Source organism: Homo sapiens, chromosome 4 (assembly GCF_000001405.40).
Source record: "Homo sapiens chromosome 4, GRCh38.p14 Primary Assembly".
Classification (NCBI taxonomy): domain Eukaryota; kingdom Metazoa; phylum Chordata; class Mammalia; order Primates; family Hominidae; genus Homo; species Homo sapiens.
Window position 1 is genome coordinate 43,842,747 of NC_000004.12, and position 14,445 is coordinate 43,857,191.

Sequence of the window (14,445 nt, forward strand, 5' to 3'; positions counted from 1 at the left end):
AGCAAGAGTTTACAGACAATGATTCATAGGTAGACAAATAGATAGAGAAAACATCATGCTCCCATGGCTAGTTTTGCAGTGATTGTCAATGCATTGCACTATGTTGACTAAAAGGCAAAAATAAAATGAAAGGTTTGGTGGAAAAAAAATCTCAGAAAAATGTATGTTGAAATTAAGTACATTTGTAAATTATCTTCAACCTGAAGTCAACGTTTTGCTCTGTAGTCATGTTAGATTTCAAAATTCATGTTTGGTTGAAGCAGCAGCACTCAATAATTAAATTAACTTTATTTGGCTGGTCTCAAAAATGAGTAATCCAGAGAATAGAATTTGTTATGTAAAATAGTTGCTGTTCTACTTGAAAAAATGTATAGTGGCACTACGCTACGGTAAAGACAGGAAGCATTATAATCTGTAGGCACCTGAGAAGTGGTCACTTGTTAGGGGTATCTAAGTTTCCCCTTTTCTGAAGGTGTGACATTTCTCTAACTTAGCTCAGCTTTTGACAGTGGAGAAACATGGGCTTCCTCAGTTTAAAAGGGCCACCAAATACAAAGAACTAGCAGAAATGTTTATATCTGGGGTTCAGCTGAGCAGAAATATATGCCTGCAATCATCCAGTGCATCTCAGATAAAGCCCCAGAGAAAGATTCCAATAGCAGAAACAAATACACAAAAAAAAACCTTAGTGTATTGTAATTTCCTATTACTGATTTGTCACTTGAGATATTAGCATATTATACAAATTCACAGTCTCAAGACCCAAAATAAATTTTTAAACCTAACGAAAATTGAGAAGTCATGAAGTATTTTTACAGCAAACAAAACTGGTTGCCCTTTGAACAGATAATAAATCACTCTGACCTGATACTGGAGATTCAACATATACTACACAGGCAAAGCTATTGCTGGAGTATTTTAACATTTGTTGGAACTGCTTTCAACTATAGCTCCTGATGCCTCCTGTGGTTGCCAGTGGGAGGCCTTGAATAAACAGTTCACATATTTGTAATTCCTTTGGAAAATCCACTTAAAATTGTATCCATTAATCTGTTCTTGAAATGAAAAACAGAAAATCATACCTTTATATCAAAAATATACTGCACACAAAAAAGCATTCTACCCACCTATATAAATCATTATAACATCTAGATGATATAATTTTAGACTTTCCTTGTGCATATATAATGGATATATGTATTATATTTTTTAAAAAATAGGGTCATAATCTATTTTTAAAGTATTTTCAAACATAGCTACTCTGTTTAATGAGTAGCTTTTAAAACAGTATATTTTTAACAGTATAATTGTTTTAAAAACTACTCTTTAAACATAGTACATTACAATTTTATATCAATAAATATTTATGGCATGATTTTAACAGAAAATTTGACTACAATTTTAAATTTCAATAATTAATACTTACTAATATCAGGCATTATTTTAAGCACTGCATATAAACTGCGTTATAAACACACACGCACACACACATGATTAATCTTCCCCTTTCAATTATTTGGGTTAATTTAAAGTCTTTTGATTATAAAACAAACAAGTTGCCTGGAAATGTTAATGAGATAAATAATTCCCACAGTAGAAAATAGTCTCCTTAATAGTACTATAATTTGTTGATTTCATTAGATTTAGCACTGGCTTCTTCTTTCTATTAGCTACTCCTTTATTATATAAAGAAAGCTTTTTGTTTTAAGAAATAATTTGTGATCACAAATGTTGTTTGGATGAAAACATTCAAGGCAACTCAAAATTTGTTAATACCTGAAACGAGTTTTATGAGCCAACACACACATATACACACCACACAGACATAAACACACACACACAACTCCTCTAGGTTCCAATTGTAATGTGTGCCCTTATCTTATTTATCATTGATTTTTACTGCTTTGAAACTTATTAGTCAGCTTTATTAGTAATCCTTTACTCATTTTTAAGCACCCGTCTGTCATTGATCATTTGACATTGATCGTATGTACTATCAAGCCTCTCCATATCAGTGATATTATTTAGAGTCCAATTTAATGTAGGACTGGTGGTTGAAAAGTCTACCTTTATGGTGGGTTTTTCTGTTGAAGCATCCTTTCTTCTGTAATCTTTTAATTCAGATGAACTCAGAGTAAAGCTGTACAACTTCTATAAACTTTCTAGACTAAAGAAAGCAAACATAAGTTTAAAAAACACTTTGTCTTTTTATTCTCAGATAAAGTAAATGAAACAGGCTATATATTTTCTTGTTCTTCAGTTTATCATTGAATCTAGTACACATATCTATGAGGGAAGTTTTTGTGCTTATTTTAGTTGAGTATGTAGCTTTGATCAATTAAAAAAAACACTGTGGAACAAATTAAACCTCAAAGCAATTATGAAACTGTAGGCCTTACTCTACAGTTATATCTTTAGTTATTTTGGCCTTTAAACTTTTATGTAGTATAACCATTATGTTTTCAAAATAATTTTTTAAAAATCTTAAGTTTTATGTAAACTCTTATCATATGTATAACATAATGGGGAAGTTTAGCTGCTAAGCATTTTTAAACCATAAAAGCCATAATAAACAGTATTACATATATTTGCTATTCATTAGGATAATTTAATTTTCTCTAAATAAAACAAAAGAGAAAATTGTTGTAATTATTATGTTTTAAACTGTTAATGAATTTAAGACAATTGTAAAAATAAAATCTTTCAAATCTTTATAAACCAATAAACTGGACAATCTTTTCTTAGAGGTAAACAATGGATAGGATTGATGAAGAACTCTATGTAGCTAATTATAATAAAGCAAAAGTGCTAACTCCCTTGTCTGGGTTTTCCACCAAAATAAATAAATAAATAAATTTCTTTGTCTAGAGAGTCACTAAGAAATGTTTCAAGTGTGCAGTTAGCATCTCCTACTTCTGAGATGGACAAAATGCATTGTATTCTGCTTCATGAATATAATATTTTATTCATCCTTTTGGTCAAAAGTTTTATTTTCATTATAAAATTCCTTAAAAGTTTAATAAATTACAAACAAATATTTAGTGTTATTAAAAGCAAAGAACCTGGAATCAGATTTCTTTGTTTAAAATGTTCTCTCCCAGTTACACATTGTCTGATGTATGGGAAATGATTTAATTTCTTTGTGACTCAGTGTCCTCGAAAAAAAAATGAGAATAATAATATTTAGCTAACACAGCTGTTGTGAGAATTAGACAATATTCCAGAAACACTGTAATTTTCAATTCATGTTGAGAGGTGACAACTTGCTAGTAGCCCTAGCTCACTCTTGGCACCTCCTCAGGCCACGGTGTCCACTCTGGCTGCACTTGAGGAGCCCTTCAGCCCACCGCTGCACTGTGGGAGCCCCTCTCTGAGCTGGCCAAGACCGGAGCCGGCTCCCTCTGCTTGAGGGGAGGTGTGGAGGGAGAGGCACAGGCGGGAATGGGGGCTGTGCGTGGTGCTCCCAGGCCAGTGGGAGTTCTCAGTGGGCACAGGCTCAGCGGGCCCCGCACTTGGAGCAGCCGGCTGGTGCTGCTGGCCCCTGCAGTGAGGGGCTTAGCACCTGGGCCAGCAGCTGCGGGGGGTGCGCCGGGTCCCCCAGCACTGCCGGCCCACCTGTGCCATGCTTGAATTCGCACCAGGCCTCAGCCACCTTCCCACAGGGCAGGGCTCAGGACCTGCAGCCTGCTATGCCCAAGCCCCCCCACCGACCCCACCCTACCATGGGCTCCCGCGCGGCCCAAGCCTCCCGGATGGGTGCCACCTCCTGCTCCGAGGCACCCAGTCCCATCGACTGCCCAAGGGCTGAGGAGTGCAGGCACGGCACGGGACTGGCGGGCAGCTCAGCCAATGGCCCCAGCACGGGATCCACTAGGTGAAGCCAGCTGGACTCATGAGTCAGGTGGGGACTTGGAGAACTTTTGTGTCTAGCTAGAGGATTGTAAACGCACCAATTAGCACCCTGTGTCTAGCTCAAGGTTTGTAAATGCACCAATCAGTGCTCTGTGTCTAGCTAATCTAGTGGAGACTTGGTGAACTTTTGTGCCTAGCTACAGGATTGTAAATGCACCAATCAGCACTCTATGTCTAGCTCAGGGATTGTAAATGCACCAGTCAGCACCCTGTCAAAATGGACCAATCAGCTCTCTGTAAAATGGACCAATCAGCAGGATGTGGGTGGGACCAGATAAGGGAATGAAAGCACGCTGCAGGAGCCAGCAGTGGAAACCCGCTCTGGTCCCCTTCCACACTGTGGAAGCTTTGTTCTTTTGCTTTTTGCAATAAATCTTGCTGCTGCTCACTCTTTGGGTCCGCACTGACTTTATGAGCTGTAACACTCACTGCAAAGGTCTGCAACTTCACTCCTGAGGCCAGCAAGACCACGAACCCACCGGGAGGAATGAACAACTCTGGACGGGAAGAATGAACAACTCCAGATGTGCCGCCTTAAGAGCTGTAACACTCACCATGAGGGTCTGCAGCTTCACTCCTGAAGCCAGCGAGACCACGAACCCACCAGAAGGAAGAAACTCCTAACAGGTCTGAACATCAGAAGGAACAAACTCCAGACACACCATCTTTAAGAACTGTAACACTCACCGCGAGGGTCCGCGGCTTCATTCTTGAAGTCAGTGAGACCAAGAACCCACCAATTCCAGACACAATATCACTGGATATATAAATTCAATAAATATTTTATGAATAGCTCTTGTAATAATTATTTTCAGGAAGAAAATGCATTTGTGTGAAAAATACATTGATAAAACTTTTGTGAAATATTGACAAGGTACTTTTTATAAAACTGGGAAGTGAATTTGTTCTGCTCTGAAATGCCAGAGAAGAGAAAAACAAACTATCCAAGAGAGGGATAAAGAAAAGAGCCAAAGAAGATGTGAGGTATAAAACTACAAAAGAAATAATCAGGAGAGTTTCCTTTGGAGCATGTATTCAGAACCCTTTAGGACAAGGAATGAATGGTGCTAAATTTGAAGTGATTCAATTGCTGTGGTGTAAATCTTTATCCAGGAGATAATCCCAGCAAAATTTCACTAAAGTCTACTACACTAATTGTATTAGTCTGTTTTCATACTGCTGATAGAGACATACCCAAGATGGGCAATTTACAAAAGAAAGAGATTTAACTGGACATACAGTTCCATGTGGCTGGGGAAGCCTCATAATCATGGCAGAAGGCAAGGAGGAGCAAGTCACATCTTACGGGGATGGCAGCAGGTAAAGAGAGCTTGTGAAGAGCAATTCCGATTTTTAAAACCATCAGATCTTGTAAGACCCATTCGCTATTAGGAGAACAGCACACGAAAGAACTGCCCCCATAATTCAACCGTCTCCCACTGGGTCCCTCCCACAACACGTGGGAATTATGGGCACTATAAGATGAGATTTGGGTGGGAACGGAGAGCCAAGCCATATCGCTCATGAATGCTTTGTATAACGTAGTTTCCTATTTTGTTTTGTGAAAAATGAGAAATGGCTCAAATGTTGTGATATACACAAAATGCACTGCTAATGGTTTTACAGAGGAATAATCAAGTAGGTAGCCATCTCTCAGGTACTGGAAGAAGTCCTTGGAACTTCCTTAGATTTCCATGCAATATCTTACAGGAATTTGAACTAATTATGTCTGGATATAAAGGGGTATAACATACCTCAGTTGATGTTGAATTTATGGAGATACCCATAACCTTTGCATTCTTAAAGTACTCTATAATTTTCAAAAACTTTTCTTACATTATCTTGCTTGTTCTTCACAAAGCTCTATGAGGCAGGCAGGGCAGGGATTCTTCATCGCAATTGCAGATTAGGAAGCTGAGCCTGGGAAGATTAACTGACACACCAAAGGTAGAACAAGGACAGCTTAAATTTCTCTAGCCTTCTCCTTCTCTCATGTGCAGGATGAGAATCTCCAGATTGAAGAAAAGTACTTTGGATGTCATGATTTTTTATTCTAGTTTAGGTAAAGAACAGATATGTGTGTCCTCTTAGAAAAAATAAATCCAGGTATATTATTTTTTTCAAAATAATTGTTGTGGAAGCTTTTCAAGAAAATAAGTTTTTGAAGTTATGCTATAAGTAAAATAAATTTCTCAATTAGATTAAATAAGATCTTTAGATAGAAATCAATCCTTTTGATGACAATCTGTGTTTGAGTTTAAATGCCTTGAGTCATATTAACCATGACTTTTATTTTCTGTATTCTGATGCTTTGACATTTAGAATCTTGGTCACCCTGGAGCAACTGCCCTAATTTCTAGAGATTCTTAAATAGCCCAGTAATGCACCTTTCAATTGCAAACCAAGCAATCTAGAGTTTATCCTCATAAGCAACTCCTTTATCAGGATCTCATATTATGGGCCACTATCCACCTGCCCTAAACATTCTAAGGGCAAGGGCCAGAAAACTAGGGGCTGCCCTTATCCCCCAGACCTCTCTAAAATTATTCAAATCAACCAATCCTTATTTGACTTGTCCTGTCTTGCCCTTTCCTTCCTGTGGAAACGAAAATAAAGTCTCTGGCTCCTAATCGATGCTGGTGCTTCCCCATATTCCCCCTACCCCAACCCTTCACCCTTTGGCTTGCCATGCCCTCTCCTCTTGGAATCTGTAAATATAACAAACTTTCCTTTCGATGGCAGTCAACTTCTAATCTGTTGGCCTTGCCATACCTATATAATGATAAAAGCCACTTTAAAAATAATAATAATAATAATAATAATAATAATAAAAGCTTCTTGTTCCTGATGTATACTTGTGAGTACACACACACTCAGAGTTCTTTCTCCCCCTTCCCTGCCACCCAACTTAGAACCAGCAGAACCACAGTCCAGAAGTCACTCATCCTTACCTTTGACTAAAAACTGAGCAGAAGATGAGATTATTGGTGTATTGCATGTCTCAGGGTGCTGTATAGACAAGACACTAGAATAAACAAAAGGACACCACATTGTGATTCTAAGCACAGGGATTGTGTTTTCTATAGGGGAGAAAAATGTGGTGCTTGAAAGGGAGAGTATTGAGGAGTGACAGAAAGAGTGGGGGTAGTTAGGAATCAAGAGAATGTTCTTACCTTCTGAAGATATTAGCAGTGAAAACCTGCCTACTAGTGAACAGAACAGGCAATCAACAACTTATTTCTCTTCCTGCACAAGATATCAGATTTTTAAACTAGAGTCACTCGAATTGTAGATCTTACCCAGGATCAAGCTTTACCAATAATTTTTAAGATACAAGCAATTGAAAGGCACAGAGTACACAGGGAGAGGTTAGACACAATGAATGCATCTCTTCAGTTTTTTCCTTACTATATTGGACTCACACTTTTGCTTCGGGGTACATTTAGGTTATGAAACATCTCCATTCACTTTTATACCAGATGGTGTGCAGCTTACATGTAGGTTTTTATTCTTCATGTTTACCATAAGCAATCATAAACTGAGAACATCCTGCTAAAAGCATTTCATAGACAAGGGCTTTCTTTCTTGTAAATAGCATTAGTCTGTTCAATGAAGTCAATTTTCAGCATGTTTACAAGGAGATTAGATTGAGTTGCCTGATTTCTTTTCTTTTTGTTTGTTTTTCATGAGCACTGGTCTAGTAATAATAGAAAAATGTATTGTGGCTGGGCACGGCGGCTCACGCCTGTAATCCCAACACTTTGGGAGGCCGAGGTGGGCAGATCACCTGAGGTCAGGAGTTCAAGAACAGCCTGGCCAACTTGGTAAAACCCTGTCTCTACTAAAAATGTAAAAACTAGCCGGGCATGGTGGTGGGCACCTGTAATCCCAGCTACTCTGGAGGCTGAGGCAAGAGAATCGCTTGAACCCAGGAGGCGGAGATTGCAGTGAGCAGAGATCATGCCACTGCACTCCAGCCTGGGCGACAGAGCAAGACTCCATCAAAAAAAAAAAAAAAAAAGAAAGAAAGAAAAATGTATTGTAAGCCTACTGCTTACCTCCTTCCTTCTTTCCTCATATCCTCCTTGTCCAGTTCCCATGCTTTACAATGCAGATGTCCATGTGGTTTTGGGTAATTATCAAAAGTCTTATTTAATGTACTTTTTATAACTTCATGTAATGTACTTTTTATAACTTCTCACTTTCAGCTGCCTCATTTTTCTCCCCTATAAAAAACACAATCCCTGTGCTTCGAATCACAATGTGGCATCTTTTTGTTTATTCTAGTGTCTTGTCTATACAGCAAACTGAGACATGCAATACACCAACAATCTCATCTTCTGCTCAGTTTTTAGTTGTAGGTGAGGATGAGATGATTGTATACAGCAGCCCTGAGGTAATTAACAGCGTCTTAGAAAAAAAACTCGATTTTACATCTCATAGGGCACTTTGCCAACAAGGATAAGATGTTTTGTTTAATAAACAAATAAAAACATAAAGACTCTGCCCAACCAGGTAAGGACACAAAGAAGCACACCCTTTCACTATCAGTTCTCACCAGAGGATCCTGTGTATATAAAAGACCAGGCTTTAAGAAACTCAAAATAGCTGCCTTAACTGACATCATCTTGCAGTCATTCATGATAAGAACTTGGCATCTGCCACCAAAGGCTCTGCCACATTGATGACTCTTTCTTACAAGATTGATGGAAAGCCAGCTGGAAACATGATAACACCTGTCCCACTAACCTTCCCCTCCTCTGTGGTACAAAGAGAGGTGATTCTACTACCAAGATTGCAGTATTAAATGGTATTGCTATCACCAAAGTCAAACTGAATAATGATGCCTAGCCTAATAGGACACAACATGAAATCATCCATTCAAGTATTTATTGAGCATAGACGGAGTGTATGGTAACCCAGGTCTAAGAATATTCATTGCTAAAGAATAGAAGGAGCAGAAATTCTATCATGCTATATATTAATATGATTTTTCCACTTGTGGAACATTTAAGGATAAATATATGATAAGAAATACAGTATCTGAAAAAAAGTTAGGCCACAACTTTTGAGAGCATTAGATTTCATTAGTCTACAAGAGGCATACACCTGCATTTACTTTTTTTTATGTGCTATCTTACACATAATTCTACAGTAAAATGTTATTTACTTAAAAATATAATGGCATATATCTCAATTACATTGGTTTAAAAATATGATGAAGATCATTTAAATCTGGATTTTCAAATGTATGTACCACAGTTGTTCCTTGAGTAATGCAGGGGTTAGGGTCACAACTCCACATCAGTTGAAAATACACTTATAAAGTTTGACTCCCCAAAACACTTAACTACTAATAACCTACTATTAACTGACAGTCTTATGGATTACGTAAACATTCAATTAACAAAGAGTTTGTATGTTATATGTATTACATACTGTATTTTTACAATAAAGCAAATTGAAGAAAGGAGAATGTTATTTACAAAGTCATAAGAAAGAGAAAATAAATGTACTATTCATTAAGTGGAATGGGTCGTCATAAAGGTTTTCATCTTCATCGTCTTCATATTGAGTAGGCTGAGGAGGAGGAAGAGGCAGGGTTGGTCTTACTGTCTCAGGGTGGTAGAGATGGAAGAAAATTTACATATTTTCTGAACCTATGCATTTTAAGCCTGTGCTGTTCAAGGGTCAACTATATTTACTTTTGCTGATACCTAATAATTTTTGGTACTTTTTAGATAAAATTTATGTAGAATAAACAAGAAAGTTTAGAAAGTGTCCCTGTACTTCTCTGGGCTAACTTCAGCTGGTAGCAATTTGTCCAAAAGCCCATGGCTATAAGATAATCCATCAAAATAAATAAACTGAAGGGAAATTGGAAAAGCAAGATATTAGCAGTAATATTAAAACCCTGGAGATCAGGAGGCAAATGGCTTCAACAAAGATCTGGACATTTGCCTGATGCAAGAGATCTTAGATTTTGGGCTTTCCATAGTCCCAGTCTCATTTTGTACTGAGACTTTTAGAGATACACAAAATAGAGGGAAGACAAAGTTTAACTCTTAGCAATAGTGTTATTAATATATGATACTTAAAATGAAATGCAAAGTCGTCCCTCTTCAGGCCCACACCATCACAAACCTCAAGTAATATTCAGGATTCATTACTAAGTCGCTTCATGACCTATTTTTTCCCACAGCAATACTGTGTAACAACCTAACAAAACACTCCAATGGCATATGACAATAAACATTTCTTTTCGTTTATGAGTCTGGGTTAGCTGAGTGGTGCTACTGATCTGCTCCATTTAGTTTATTGTGGCTAAGCTTGTTCATTTGTCTGTGGGCAGCTTGCAGATCAATTGAGGGTTTGCTAATTTAGGATGATCTTGGCCTCACTTTCTCATTTGTGATCTATACAGTCTCACATTCTCTAAGTTAGCCCAGGTTTTTTCATAATGTCACAGGCAGGGGCTGAACAGAGACAATAGAAGTGTGTGGGCTCTTTTGAGGCCCTGGCTCAGAAATGGAATTTCAACACTTGTGCTTCATTCTGGTGGTCACAGTAAAATCTATCCTGAATTCTAAATGGGAGGCAATTAAAAGTTGCAGGGGAAATGTTGGATGCAGGGAGGCTATAAATTAGAACCATTAAGTAATCAATCTACCACAGTGGCCATGTAGGAAAGTACAAAAATTAACATAAGCCTCATAATACATAACCAGAGATCAGATCTATACATGATTATTTTCCTCCTTGAGAAGTCCTGCTGTATAACATTGTCTTAGTCTATTTGGTGTGCTATAACAAAAATTCCATAGACGGCTTATAAGCAACAGAAATTTACTTCTCATAGGTCTGGAGACTGGGAGCACCAAGATAATGGTGCCAGCAGATCCAGTGTTAGGCAAGGGCCCACTTCCTGATTGATAGATGCCAGCTTCTCACTTTGTCCTCACATGGTGGAAAGGACAAGGAAGTTCTGTAGTGCCCCTTTAATAAAGGCGCTACTCCCATTCATGAAGGCTCTGCCATCATAACTTAATCACCCACCAAAGGCCTCACCTCCTACTGCCTTCACATTGAGGGTTAGGATTTCAACATACAATTTTCGGAAGAGCCCACACATTCAGTCTACAGCAATCATATTCTGCTATAGCCAACATTTAAAATTTCTTTAAGGCAAAATTTCTAAGATTCTTGGCATGTTAGAGGTGTTGTTACCTAAATTCACTGCCGGTAGTAAATAGCAAGAGGAAACCACAACTCTTCATTTTGGAAATACACCAGGCAGCCCCGATAAGCAGCAGGGCAAGAACCGACTGAAACAGATGTTAATGGGAGAGAGATGCACATTTTGCAATGAATTGAAGCACAGATGATTCCTCCTACACCAGGTAAAAAAAGATAAGAGCTGCAGTTTAGAGGAGACAGTATCCTCCCAGCAGAGTCGTGTGCTTTTTGAACTAAAGCCAAAAAACATAAATTGAGTGGAATTTTGTATAAATGTCAGGTTGTTTTGATTTATTAACCACTCTTATTTATCCAAGTTAAAATTCTCGTGAAGGAGCTCATATTTCCTTTTTGTAGTTGATCTGAGAACACATTAAGATGTGGGAGAGGGGGAGAAATGAAAAGTATTTATCCAGTCTATCCCACAAAATCAATCCCTTTTTAAATCCATGTCAGTAAAACCATCTGGTAAAGCCATCACTTGACATGTTGTTTTTATTAACATTATCTCTGTAAATAAAGATAAACATATATAGAGCATAGAGAATAAACCCCGCCATAGAAAAAGCCCACACACTAGGTTTTAAAAATATGTATGATCAAAATAAATGGAAAATTTGATTCATTTAAAAAAATGTACCTTATTTTCTGTCAAAGTTCACATCTTATTAGAATATTAACTTCTTAAAAATGTAGCTATATTCAGAATAATTCTATTAAAATTTTAGCTTCATCTAGTGTGATGATATCTGTCATTTCCAACCCTCTGACTTTTCTCCTGCATTAAACTTTCTGTAGTATACTTCAGATTCTGGATTTCATCCTTCCGGTTTGAACCCATTTTTTTGTCCATGGTTAGCGGTAATGATTTTAGATACTCTCATCTCTGCACCTTATGCCTCCCAGTCAATCAAAGAATTTACAGTATTATATAAAATACCTCTTTAATATTTTTAGAGGATGGTAAGAATAGTAGTTATTTCAATGTTAGCAGGTTCTTGGAGACAAAACTTATATGAAAGCCCTGCACACTGCTATCACCAACTGCAACAGAAGGCTAAATTTATTTCCAAATTACCGAAAATCAATTGGTCTATTATCCTTGAATATATCATATTTGCCTATTCTTGAAAACCCAGGAATACTTTTATAAACTTATTATTAGTGTCCATTACATTCAAGAAATCACCAAAATTCTGTTGATTCAATTCTAAAATATGTCTTAAATCTATTAACTCTTTTTCATACTCAAGCCTACTGCCTCTGTTGAGGACTAGTTTTTTTTTTTTTCCCCCACAATGTTCACCAGTCTTTTGCCTTGACATCCAGCCTTTTGTCCTGCTCCCATCCCAATCTCCAGCTTAGTACTCATACTTCCATCTATGTTAACTCAACTTCGTTTAAAATTGCTTTAAGGGCCCCTTCAATTCCTCATAGCCCACTGGATAAAATGCAAACTCCTTGAATATGGGACCCTAACATGCCTTATTCAACTATGTGGTTTCATTTTCTACTTCAGTGCCTGGCACTGTGAAGATAGTCAAGGTGTGATTGAGAAATGAAACAAATGGTTTAAAATTGGAACAGATGGCTGTTTGTTGAGGAGGTTAAGAAGTATTCCACTGTTGTCATAGTAGCAGGGAGTCTTATTTGCAGAGTTAACTTGTATGTGAATTAGCAGACTCACAGGTCATGTGAGTAGTTGAAGGAAGCTCATTTTCATTTTGCCAATCATATGCGAAAAATCAGTACAGGTGACAAAAAGACAGGAAAAAATTTCCTACTGTTTTTTAAATGTGAAATTTAGGAGAATTTCAACAGTTGAATTCTCAAGAAAACAATGATGACAAATTACAAGGGAATTGACAATCGTTTTTATCTGCAGAATATAAATGTGACAGAAGAACACTTAGACACATACTATGAGACCACCTAATGATGTGAAAGAATGGCAGAAAATTGGCCCCCTTAACTAAATGTATTTCTGGAATCTCTTCATGTGGCACTACCCTACTTTTGCCTTCTCACTAACTTCTGAAGACATGGCTATCAGCAATAAAAAAGTCAATTCCTATGAAATAATTATCAGCAGATGATGTTTTTTCATTCCCAAGTGGATAAGACTGATAATATTTTATATATAATTATACACAAAATAGTTATTACCACCAATCTCAGAAATGAGTTCAATAAAATAAGACATTTTGTCTGATATTTTAGATCCTATGATACTTTTAAAGTAGGAGTGACTTACGTAATCCTCTCTCTGATTTAATTAGGTAGAATAATCAGAATACGGGGATATAGAGATGCATTATCTCTTGTTCTAGATCTTTTCATTAAATATGTCATGTACAAATGATTCACCTTCTCATTAAAAGAATCTCTTCTCTATGTGAGTGAGAAAAGTATCTTGTGCCAAATGTGCAGCTTACAGAATTTCTAAAAGTATTAAGGGACCATGGACTATGTACTAGAATATTTAATTCCTTGTTAGAGAATAACTGAGAAAACATATTAAGTGGTCTGGGCCAATTACCAACTTGCTTTTGTATTCATAAATGGAGCTATCAGGAAAAAAAATGCTTCAATATTCAGGGATTTGGACTTTTTTCTTTCTTTTTTTTTTTTTTTTTTGAGATGGAGTTTCACTCTTGTCCTCCAGGCTGGAGTACAATGGGGCAATCTCAGCTCACTGCAACCTCCACCTCCCAGGTTCAAGGGATTCTCCTGTCTCAGCCTCCTGAGTAGTTGGGATTACAGGCACCTGCCACCATGCCCAGCTAATTTTTTTTTTTAATTTTAGTAGAGATGGGGTTTCACCATGTTGGCCAGGCTGGTCTCGAACTCTTGACCTCAGGTGATCCACCAGCCTGGGCCTACGGAAGTGCTGAGATTACAAGTGTGAGCCACTGTGCCCAGCCTGAACTCTTTTTTTTAAAATACTTTAAGTTCTAGGGTACATGTGCACAACATTTGTTACATAGGTATACATGCACCATGTTGGTGTGCTGCACCTATCAACTCTTCATTTACATTAGGTATTTCTCCTAATGCTATCCCTCCCCCAGTCCGCACCCCCCGACAGGCCCCAGTGTGTGATGTTCCCCTTCCTATGTCCAAGTGTTCTCATTGTTCAATTCCCACCTATGAGTTAGAACATGTGGTGTTTGGTTTTCTGTCCTTGTGATAGTTAGCTCAGAATGATGGTTTCCAGCTTCATCCATGTCCCTGCAAAGGACATGAACTCATCATTTTTAATGGCTGCATAGTATTCCATGGTGTATATGTGCCACA

At 37.6% G+C, this 14,445-nt stretch overlaps 1 annotated feature.

The window, feature by feature from the left end:
• Nucleotides 624-1,125: an enhancer, noted in NCBI's record as "NANOG hESC enhancer chr4:43845387-43845888 (GRCh37/hg19 assembly coordinates)". NCBI's record gives its function as "activates a minimal SCP1, AML or CMV promoter by ChIP-STARR-seq in primed H9 embryonic stem cells {active_cell/tissue: H9 hESC(primed)}" and the evidence as "EXISTENCE:reporter gene assay evidence [ECO:0000049][PMID:30033119]".